The sequence below is a fragment of the Homo sapiens genome, chromosome 5 (genome assembly GCF_000001405.40).
Source record: "Homo sapiens chromosome 5, GRCh38.p14 Primary Assembly".
Classification (NCBI taxonomy): Eukaryota; Metazoa; Chordata; class Mammalia; order Primates; family Hominidae; genus Homo; species Homo sapiens.
This window is the reverse complement of record NC_000005.10, coordinates 44298954-44311336: the sequence shown is the minus strand read 5'-3', so window position 1 is coordinate 44311336 and position 12383 is coordinate 44298954. Positions and strand designations below refer to the sequence as shown.

General features: G+C 35.0%; 1 protein-coding gene across 2 annotated transcripts in view; it reads left to right on the top strand.

Annotated features, from left to right (window-relative positions):
* Window positions 1-11090, top strand: part of FGF10 (fibroblast growth factor 10) — an 89174-nt gene extending 78084 nt beyond the window's left edge. For both annotated transcript variants that reach the window (XM_005248264.5, NM_004465.2), the window contains 2 exons: window positions 807-910; window positions 6145-11090. In XM_005248264.5, coding sequence (XP_005248321.1) covers window positions 807-910; window positions 6145-6342 — 302 coding nt within the window. In that variant the 3' untranslated portion in view covers window positions 6343-11090. The remainder of the gene's footprint in view (window positions 1-806; window positions 911-6144) is intronic.
* The last annotated feature ends 1293 nt before the right edge of the window (window positions 11091-12383 follow it).

Here is a 12383-nt window from a genome sequence, read left to right as displayed (position 1 = left end):
AGTAGACGATAAACTGACTTCCCTATTGTGATCTACAAACTTTTCCGAGAAAATTATCTTTAGATGCAGCAATCGAAACTTGTGTATAAGGGGAAAAGGAGCTCTTGTCTACCTCTTACTACTTCCCTCGATTTTCCATTTTTCCTAGGAAAAAAAAAAACCTTAAAAATCCATGTTTATGGATTTTCCCCCAACACAGAGCAGTAATTCTGCTATTTCAGGGACAGTGCAGATGTTGGGATTAGTCTCCCTGTATCTCAGAATGTCAACACATTTGCCAAAAATGAATCTATCAGTTAAATGTAGCCAAGAGATTTAGATTATCTATATCCTAGCAAGAAGAAATAGTTTATCACTGTTTTTAGAGATTGAGGTAATCTGGCATATTATTGACATGTGCTACAGATTTAATTTAATACCATAGTACAGATATGGGCTCTGATAAGTTATTTTGAAATCTAGGCTAAGATGAGTAGAGTTGTTTCAATATTTATAGGGTTGAAAATGCAGAGTTAGCAAAGGAAGCATTTTAATTAAAACAATATTTTCTATGTATGCTCAGAGTAAAATGAAGGGGAATTCTTTTAAAGCCTTATTACTTTTTTCTATATATTTGCTGGAAATACTTGCCGGGTTTTAAGACACATTGAAAAAGATTTGCTTGTTTGCTTGTTTGTTTACCAATGTTTTGTGCCTTTTGTTTTTAGAACCACACAAAAAACAACTCAATAGTTTCTTTTGATTTTACTTTTCTTCCAAATATATTTAGGATTCTTTATTTAGCCTTTTAAAATTGTATGTTTTAGGCATCCTGGAGATAACATCAGTAGAAATCGGAGTTGTTGCCGTCAAAGCCATTAACAGCAACTATTACTTAGCCATGAACAAGAAGGGGAAACTCTATGGCTCAGTAAGTATTCTGCTTTTGTTTTCAAATCCACTCCAGTAAACCATTACCATAGTTTTGGAAAGTTTCCTCCAGACACCGAATAGCTTTGTTATCCTTCTATTGCTAGTAAATAGAGCCACAGTGGGTTAGTCACCACTGTTTCAAGGGCTGGCAAAGCAGCTCTTCCAATTCTGTAATCTCCTCTGTTGTTCACCCATTAGTCTACCACACAGGCTGCTGCTGGCATTTGTCTGTGAATGTTCTAAACTGCTAACCAAGTCAGGCTCTCACGGAAGCATCCGGTCAGATTGGCATGGAAAATGAAGACAACTTGGAGAAAAAACACTAAAAACAAAGATCTTGAATTGAGTAGAAACCCATGTATTATATATGCGTTACGGCTGAAGATGAAACAAGGGCTCAGATGTTTTGCATTTTGTTAAAATCTGAAATGGGGAAATGTGTCAAGAAACACCATTTTGCTTGTTGTTCAATCAACTCTAGAATTTTATTTACCTAGACAATAACCTTTAATTCAAATTATGCCTCAAAATCATATATATATATGTGGGAAATATTCTTTGCAATAGGGTCCTTGTGGAGCAGGTATCCCTGCAGTGCTTTGGGCACATCCATGCCTATATTCCATACCAGGTGTTAAGTATTTGGAATACCACTTCTGCAATCTTGGATCAAACTCTTTTAAACCAATTTCTTAGAAATTTAAGATCTCACTTAAAATGCCAAATAGTTGTTTTATAATTGCAATTGTAATAATAATTAAATTACAAGCAGTGAGACAATTTATCCTGCTCAAGTCCTTAGAAAAAAATGCATCAATCAATCATATCAACATCTACTATATGCCAGATATTGTTTGACATATCAAAGATGCATAAGAAAGAAGTATAGAAATGGGCCTTGACTTCAAATAATTTATAATATATTTAGGGGAAATGTTAACAAATATGAAATAATTACAGCATGATTGGTTGTTACATGTATGAAAGGATCAGCTATAGCAAAGCAGCCCTATAATAAAGTTGGGAACTAGGTTTCAATCTCTTAGCTGTCATTTGAATGATGACAGGAGTATATTAGTTTGTGCATGTGGATCCATCTTATTGTGTCCCTCCCAGAGACAGATCAAGGGGATGCTAACTGAATTTCATTTTTTTCTCTGGATTCTACTGAAGGGGAGTGTATTGAAGGCAACTATAAACTTGGAAAAATTTTAATTTAATTTTTTGGAGGACATGTAATATTATATATGGCCAGAAATAAAACCTGTGACACAAATCTTTTAAATAATTTTTACTTTTGTAAACAGATCCTGTGTCATTTTTACATTTTTATGTAATCAAAAAGGAATTTCACTTTAAATTTGTAAATAAACTTACTTTGTTGATTAGCATAAGGCTGAGAGAACCATTTAGAACCATTTAGTGACCATTTAGAACCAGCAGCTCTTAAACTTGAGTATGCATCAGAATCAGTGGAAGGGCTTATTAAAAGACAGAATAATGGGACCCACAGCCATATTTTCTGATTCAATAAGTCTGTGGTGCAGTTCAATTTCCATTTCTCACATGGTCCCAGGTGTTCCTGATGCTGCTGGTGCAGTAACCACAATTTGAGAACCGCTGGTCTGGATGTAGAGTAGCCTTGTATTTTACTAATATCAGGTCCACTTTTAACTGGGGAGTCAGGCATGCTTTGAGTTGGTCCCTGGGACTAGGGCAAATGCTTTTTTTTGCATGGGGGTCAGAGGAATTTTAGTAAAATTTCTCCATTACCATTGCTCCCCTAATGAACCCAGAGGAATAACAGACCATTATAAAAAGTGGTTCCATTTAGGGGTTCACATCATAATCTCTTTTGAGGCATGTTTAATGTTTTCATTAAACATGTCCAGGTTCTTCCTTGATCTACTATATCAGAATTATTGGGGAAGAGAACCAGGTACATATTCTTTGAAGAGATAACAACACACATACTTAGTCTAGACCCAACGTCCTAAAGCCAGCTAACACTAATTTAGATTAAGGAAGAAAATGTAAATAATTTTAATGAATATAAAAGATTTTAAATACTTTTAATTGATAAAATATACTTATTTAAAAACATGACATCAAGGAGAAATGGATAACTTTCAAATAAACTCTGACATAAAAATATTTAATACTTTTCTTCACATTTCTCCTCTTTTTTTCTTCTGCCCCAACACAGCTCATGGACTGTGCTTATGCTTCATCTTGAGCTCTAAGCTCTGTGAATTATTTCATTCAAATTCTTTATTTAAAGTAGAGTCCGGTGGCTTTCTATTATCTGCAGTGGCACTTATCTGAGATTTCTCTCATTAATGTGTTTGTTGTTCACTGTCTTCTCCCAATAGATTGTGACCTTGGAGAGAGTGAGGTCAGTCTTGTCCCCCACTATTTGTTCAGCACTTAGAACCATACAGAGCACAGTTATACACTGCATAAACCTAACCTCTGGTAGAAGCTCAGCCAATTACAGAACATACTTTCCACTTCCAGCCTGTCTCAGAAAGAAACTCATTCTCTAACCATAACATTCTTTTTTGTGTAACTTTACATTTCTACTAGGAATAATGAAAAATTATGGTTTGTTCAAATTAAACGAAAAATTTATTCAAGTTCAATATTCTGCTCAGAGTGGAATAGAACTAACATCAAAATTTATAAGTGCATATCTAATATAATTCTGTATATTAGGTGACAACTCTTGTAATTCCTACCTTCATTTTTTGTTTCATACAGTATCCATCAATTCCGTAAGCCCTCCTAAAAATCTGACTTGGGCAAAGATTCAGACTGACTGATTAAACCAGTTTTATATCTATTCTCTTGAATTATCTTCCTCTATTCCTTTTTGGAAACTGTATACCTTTCTTATATTTTCATTATTCATTCTCTAAGCAATTTATCTATTGTATTTTGAGTTTTCTCCTGACTGATGGGATTCAGTAAATAAAGTATAAAACTGAATTAAATAGAATAGGTCTTCATAGAGCATGATTTAAGGACCAAAGAAAATTTTCAGGTAGCTGGAAAAAATCCAAACTTCTTTTAAAAAAACTCCCTGAACCCTGCTTTTGAGTCCTTGCTGTAGCCTGAATTTTCTTTTTATACATAACTGCTTATGATTTGCTTAGATCCTGTCAACAACATATATTTTGAGGCCCCTCCTCTAGAGATTTGGTACCTTTGGCCCAAATATTTAAAACATCTGAAATAAAAAGGCTGATACATGTGCACTTCAATTTAAGAAACATTACTCTATAAATTAATTTTGGGGAGGAAAATTAACATTAAGCATACACTCCCACTTTTGTATACCTAGCTTCATCTGAAATATGAAATCACCTCAAACAATCTCAGTCCTTCATTAGTCTCTAAACTGTACCCCATTTATTGATTGAAATGAACATAATTATCCATATTTTAAAAATTACTCTGCTTTGAAAAGTATATAGTTTTAGACAGACTGAGATAAAGAGAATAAAAGTAAATCCACACTAAGGATTTATATTCCTTTCAAATACAGAATTATTTTTGTTTTATCAAAATCCTTACCTTAAATAATTTACCTTTCCTTCTTACTTTCAGCCAGTTAAATCATCATTTGAATGTTATATTTAAATATTACTTTATAGAAGAGAAGCATTTAAGACTAAAAAATTTCAGGACAGATAACTTGAGCTGGTAGCATTAACATAGAATACATCTGCTTCTTATGGTTCTGATAATGTTCTAAACTGTGATAAATCCTACAGACACCTAGGTATATAAACATATACATTTTCAGGAATTTGGAATTTTGTAGAAATTTCAAAAAGTCTCAAGGTGAGAGAAACTGCCAAGTACAGTCCTCAACTGAACTATGCCCACGGGGCCCTTGCTTTGGATGAAGAAGATAGAACCAGAGGGCAAGTGCTCCAATTCCTTAGCTTCTTAACTACTTTAGTTTGAGTATAAGAAAAGAAGCTACTTCTCTTTTTCTGTTTGTTTTTGTTTTGTTTTGTTTTGAGACGGAGTCTCGTTCTGTTGCCCAGGCTGCAGTGCAGTGGAATGATCTCGGCTCACTGCAACCTCCGCATCCCAGCTTCAAACTACTCTCCTGCCTCAGCCTGCCGAGTAGCTGAGATTACAGGCGCCCACCAATACGCCTGGCTAATTTTTTCTATTTTTAGTATAGACGGGGTTTCACCATGTTGGCCAGGCTGGTCTTGAACTCCTGACCTTGTGATTCGCCTGCCTCAGCCTCCCAAAGTGCTGGGATTACAGGCGTGAGGCACTGCGGAGGCTACTTCTAAAGCCAGAGTCTTGAGATCATTGAGCTACTTCCTCTTTGTTATTAACTCCAGAGTAAGAACCTGGATTTGTGGAGTGAGTGAGAGCGAAGCCTTGTCCAGGAATGTCTCCTTAAATCCAATTGGCCTCCTGAACAAAACCAAAGCTCTATGGCTATGGGATGGAACTTCCCAGGATCCAAGTCCTTAAGATACAATGTAGGCATTGCTATTCACCATGCTCATAATTTCTTCAACATAGTAGTTCACAAAACGAGGAATTCCATGTCCTAGTTTTCAATCCCTAGAGTTCACGAGCAAAATCTGTCAAAATTCCAAGCTATAGAATATTGCAAATAATTTCATTAAATTAAGAAATTTGATATTTGGAAGAAAGACATCCCCCCCTTTTGGTTATGCAGAACTATTGTGGTTTTGCTATAAGCTCTGCTTTCTTATGAATGTGTGTGTGTATTTATTATGGATTTGTAGGTAAAGTTTGCAAACTTGACAAGCCCATATCTTTCCTTCAGTTCTATTTTTTCCCATGGGGCCCCTGGTTATTACTGTAAAAGAAGCATTATAACACTATTCTTTATTACTGACTCATCACAAATATTGTTAGTGAGATGTCTACTTCTTGACAATCACTCTAGGCACTTAAACCATATAATATTCAAAGCACATCAGCTTTTTAAAAGGGCTTTCAAAAAGTGGCTATGATGATCAATTAAAATGTATCATGTGCTTTCAAACAGAATGTGTTTTGTGGTTCTGAGATTTACTTTTCTATTGTTGACATTATGTATTAAGTGCACAACTTAGGTACAAATGGCAACTACAAACAGAATCCTTGGACTGGAGTTCTCTGGATGGCTTGTATCAAATGAAATCAAGTACAATCACCATAGGAATAAAAGATTCTGTTTTTCCTTTGCAGAAAGAATTTAACAATGACTGTAAGCTGAAGGAGAGGATAGAGGAAAATGGATACAATACCTATGCATCATTTAACTGGCAGCATAATGGGAGGCAAATGTATGTGGCATTGAATGGAAAAGGAGCTCCAAGGAGAGGACAGAAAACACGAAGGAAAAACACCTCTGCTCACTTTCTTCCAATGGTGGTACACTCATAGAGGAAGGCAACGTTTGTGGATGCAGTAGAACCAATGGCTCTTTTGCCAAGAATAGTGGATATTCTTCATGAAGACAGTAGATTGAAAGGCAAAGACACGTTGCAGATGTCTGCTTGCTTAAAAGAAAGCCAGCCTTTGAAGGTTTTTGTATTCACTGCTGACATATGATGTTCTTTTAATTAGTTCTGTGTCATGTCTTATAATCAAGATATAGGCAGATCGAATGGGATAGAAGTTATTCCCAAGTGAAAAACATTGTGGCTGGGTTTTTTGTTGTTGTTGTCAAGTTTTTGTTTTTAAACCTCTGAGATAGAACTTAAAGGACATAGAACAATCTGTTGAAAGAACGATCTTCGGGAAAGTTATTTATGGAATACGAACTCATATCAAAGACTTCATTGCTCATTCAAGCCTAATGAATCAATGAACAGTAATACATGCAAGCATTTACTGGAAAGCACTTGGGTCATATCATATGCACAACCAAAGGAGTTCTGGATGTGGTCTCATGGAATAATTGAATAGAATTTAAAAATATAAACATGTTAGTGTGAAACTGTTCTAACAATACAAATAGTATGGTATGCTTGTGCATTCTGCCTTCATCCCTTTCTATTTCTTTCTAAGTTATTTATTTAATAGGATGTTAAATATCTTTTGGGGTTTTAAAGAGTATCTCAGCAGCTGTCTTCTGATTTATCTTTTCTTTTTATTCAGCACACCACATGCATGTTCACGACAAAGTGTTTTTAAAACTTGGCGAACACTTCAAAAATAGGAGTTGGGATTAGGGAAGCAGTATGAGTGCCCGTGTGCTATCAGTTGACTTAATTTGCACTTCTGCAGTAATAACCATCAACAATAAATATGGCAATGCTGTGCCATGGCTTGAGTGAGAGATGTCTGCTATCATTTGAAAACATATATTACTCTCGAGGCTTCCTGTCTCAAGAAATAGACCAGAAGGCCAAATTCTTCTCTTTCAATACATCAGTTTGCCTCCAAGAATATACTAAAAAAAGGAAAATTAATTGCTAAATACATTTAAATAGCCTAGCCTCATTATTTACTCATGATTTCTTGCCAAATGTCATGGCGGTAAAGAGGCTGTCCACATCTCTAAAAACCCTCTGTAAATTCCACATAATGCATCTTTCCCAAAGGAACTATCAAAGAATTTGGTATGAAGCGCAACTCTCCCAGGGGCTTAAACTGAGCAAATCAAATATATACTGGTATATGTGTAACCATATACAAAAACCTGTTCTAGCTGTATGATCTAGTCTTTACAAAACCAAATAAAACTTGTTTTCTGTAAATTTAAAGAGCTTTACAAAGTTCCATAATGTAACCATATCAAAATTCATTTTGTTAGAGCAGGTATAGAAAAGAGTACATAAGAGTTTACCAATCATCATCACATTGTATTCCACTAAATAAATACATAAGCCTTATTTGCAGTGTCTGTAGTGATTTTAAAAATGTAGAAAAATACTATTTGTTCTAAATACTTTTAAGCAATAACTATAATAGTATATTGATGCTGCAGTTTTATCTTCATATTTCTTGTTTTGAAAAAGCATTTTATTGTTTGGACACAGTATTTTGGTACAAAAAAAAAGACTCACTAAATGTGTCTTACTAAAGTTTAACCTTTGGAAATGCTGGCGTTCTGTGATTCTCCAACAAACTTATTTGTGTCAATACTTAACCAGCACTTCCAGTTAATCTGTTATTTTTAAAAATTGCTTTATTAAGAAATTTTTTGTATAATCCCATAAAAGGTCATATTTTTCCCATTCTTCAAAAAAACTGTATTTCAGAAGAAACACATTTGAGGCACTGTCTTTTGGCTTATAGTTTAAATTGCATTTCATCATACTTTGCTTCCAACTTGCTTTTTGGCAAATGAGATTATAAAAATGTTTAATTTTTGTGGTTGGAATCTGGATGTTAAAATTTAATTGGTAACTCAGTCTGTGAGCTATAATGTAATGCATTCCTATCAAAACTAGGTATCTTTTTTTCCTTTATTTTAAAATAATAATTGCACCTGACACATAAACATAGACCACCCACAACCAAAATTAAATGTTTGGTAAGACAAATACACATTGGATGACCACAGTAACAGCAAACAGGGCACAAACTGGATTCTTATTTCACATAGACATTTAGATTACTAAAGAGACTATGTGTAAACAGTCATCATTATAGTACTCAAGACACTAAAACAGCTTCTAGCAAAATATATTAAAGCTTGCAGAGGCCAAAAATAGAAAACATCTCCCTGTCTCTCCCACATTTCCCTCACAGAAAGACAAAAAACCTGCCTGGTGCAGTAGCTCACACCTGTAATCCCAGCAGTTTGGGAGACTGTGGGAAGATGGCTTGAGTCCAGGAGTTCTAGACAGGCCTGAGAAACCTAGTGAGACATCCTTCTCTTAAACAAAACAAAACAAAACAAATGTAGCCATGCGTGGTGGCATATACCTGTGGTCCCAACTACTCAGGAGGCTGAAACGGAAGGATCTCTTGGGCCCAGGAGTTTGAGGCTGCAGTGAGCTATAATCTTGCCATTGCACTCCAGCCTGGGTGAAAAAGAGCCAGAAAGAAAGGAAAGAGAGAAAAGAGAAAAGAAAGAGAGAAAAGACAGAAAGACAGGAAGGAAGGAAGGAAGGAAGGAAGGAAGGAAGGAAGGAAGGAAGGAAGCAAGGAAAGAAGGAAGGAAGGAAAGAAGGGAGGGAAGGAAGGAGAGAGAAAGAAAGATTGTTTGGTAAGGAGTAATGACATTCTCTTGCATTTAAAAGTGGCATATTTGCTTGAAATGGAAATAGAATTCTGGTCCCTTTTGCAACTACTGAAGAAAAAAAAAAGCAGTTTCAGCCCTGAATGTTGTAGATTTGAAAAAAAAAAAAATTGGAGCTATTGAGAGATCTGCCTCTGTAGGAGTATGGTCCCAGGCCCACAAAGTTAAAGTGCATCAGCCACAAATATGTGTCCATTTGAGTTTTGGTTCTGAGAATACTCCTCATAAAGATATAGAATCACTCCCTCCTCCTAACTCGCAAAAGGCTGAACAGTGTATAGTATGTTACATTTAAATAAAAACAATAAAAATGTTGGGAAAAGAAAATTAAAATATTGTCCTTGTTTGTTTTATTAGTCAGAAACTCTACCTGGTAATAAAGAGAGAAGCTCAAGTGTGTGCATGGCAGGATGTGGTTAAATGCCCCACAGCCCCAAACAACAACAACAGAAAAAAAAATTACTCAAACATTTGTAAGTTTTCTCTAATGTTTCACATGTGTGAGTTAGCTATCTTTACTCTAATAACAACCAAATGCTTTCAATCTTTTCTAAATATTCAGGTCCACCTAATTTACACAGTGGATAAAGAAAAATGAATTGGAAACGAGGATGGCTTATGAAACAATGGAAGACTTTTGGAGGAAAGCCAGGTGGCTGCAGAATCTGATTTCAAGGGGATGAATGACCAATGAATTTGATTTGAAAATTAGAGAGAAAAAATACATAATAATGCAAGTTGCTTCCAGGGCCCAAGCAAGTTTATGAACCCAATTTACATAGATCAGCATTAATGCTGCACAGTTCTAATAATTTGGATGCTGCCAATTCAAGGTTTGTGATTATTCAGTGAAGTAAAATTTACCTTTTTCATATTACTGAAGGGTTCAGCTGGTCCAAACTTTGTCTAAATAAAGTTATATATGTAGCTTAAAATATTTAAGAGAAGATGTCTAGTACATTAGAAGTAGGACATATACATGCAAACAGATACCATATTGATTAAGAGTTCTTGTTTATTTCATGAAGCAGGACTTTTCCAACTTAAACTGAAAAAAAAATAAAAAGGAAGAGGAATATCTTTGAAGGATGCTCAGGAGAAAAAGGAACTCTGAGTTCTATGAGTACTTAGAAATGAAGTAACGAAGATCTGCTTCTTCTCAGACATTCATTTTCTGTTACCCTTCATTGGTTTTATTTGGTTAGGCCAGATTGCTTCTAGTCTACTTCTTTCCTACTCCAAAACCCAAAACCCCAAACTCCTTTACTACAAGATCCAAAAAGGTAAACATCCTAGATATAACTCTTATTGGCCAGGTTTGGATAACATACCAACCTCTAGACCAATCAGTATAAGAGATTTGGGAATTGTGATTGACCAATCTTCAGTGACATGACCACAGAGAGGCAAGGTGAAGATTTTGGCAGCCCACACAACCGCAACTAGTGAAGAAGAGTACACCAAGGAGACAGCAGTGCTGCAGGTGCAAAAACCAAATGGTTGTTTGCTACATCTTATTAAATGAAGCTGTGACATAAAAACATTTTCTATTCCTATATTTCCCACCAATTCCAATTATTCTTCACCTGTTTGTTTGTCCAAGTTAGAGAGGTTTTAAGATCATTCTCTTTCATATGTTCTTTACCATTGAAAGATTACATTTGCATTGTTTTGTTTTAAGCCAAGAGTAGGGCCCTGGATATAGCTAGGCTCACTGTGGTTTTGCAAACTTTATATTGGGATGAATGCAAGTTTTCACTGAATAAAAAGCTGGTCCTCCTACTTCAACCTGTATCACAATATGATGTTATAAATGTTTCTTTCAGTTTATCCCAAGAGTATGTGCTAGTATTTTCAAGTGTATCGACATATAGAAAAAATCTGAAACCCTGATGTCATTCATTGTTTAAGTGTAAAATAAAAAAAAAACAGAAAAAAACCTGCTTTGTCTTTTACTACATTCAACATGTGACAAAAGAAAACTTTATCACCTAAACTTTATCTATTTGTCTTTTTGCAGAATAGTAAAATAAAACACAAAATGCCCTTGCAAGTGAATAATCTTTGGAAAACACCTTCATAAATACCATGTATTAGTTAAAATGGAATAATCATGATCAAACTAATGAGGTCAAACGAATTGGTCTTGTTCCTAAGTGGCTAATAATGAACATTTCCATGAGCCTGTTCCATGATAGCAACAAAGGGCAACAATTCCATAAACAGAGAAAAGCCACATGCCAAACATACATGCACGTGGCACGTATTATCTTACACATTTTTATTATCCGCCACAAAAGAGTCCATGTTCATTGTTTAATACAGGCAATTGCATCCTCTAGAGATCAGCACAACAAATGAAGGATCAAAACACCCCATGTTCCTCATTACAACTGTAAATTGAACATATGCCTTCATACAACTTAGGCAGTGACCCCAGCTATAGAATAACCAACTACAGTGAGGTCTTACCCCTCCGAAAGTTTGGTTTTAATTACCTTATACACATCTTAAATGCCTAAATCATCTTACGGTTTTCTAAATTATTTAGTTATTATCTCTGTGGTCAATTTAAGCTGCTGACAATGCAAATATTCCCAGCGAGGTCTTTCAAGGGGAAGTAAATTAAAACTAGTGTTTCATGAGGTATTACAATTTTTAAAAGACTGCTTTTTATGGTTACAAGAAGTATTAGGGTTGGGGTCACTAGTCGAATCAACTCAGCATTAAAAAGATTTTAACATCAGGTATATAAACACTAAATGTCTTGATAGCCATTTTTTTCAGTGACATAATCAATATGTTCAGATATCAATGGTGTTTAAGTCAATACCTATAAAATGTTACAAGAAAAATATCTGTTTTAGGGGGCTTTCCCACTAAGGAAGACAAAAGAGAAACACTGAAAGATGGTATGCATGTAAGTAAAGATACAAACAATATCTTATTTGCTTTCCTGACAAATCAGATACTGGGCATGAAATGCATTTTACAATTGGTGTTTATACTCATGCAGCAAAACATGAAACTAAATGCTATTTTCAAGTCAGTATAAGCAATCATTTCTCCTCATCTTATAAAGTTCTGCATTTCATCCTCCAGTATCTCCTAAGAAATAGTCAAATCAGTACATTTCAACTGCAACAATTAGCTTATCTTTCTCTTTCTCCTCATTTTCAATGCCAGGTTATATTAAACAGCTATGTGATATGTATTCCCTTATTAGACTCAC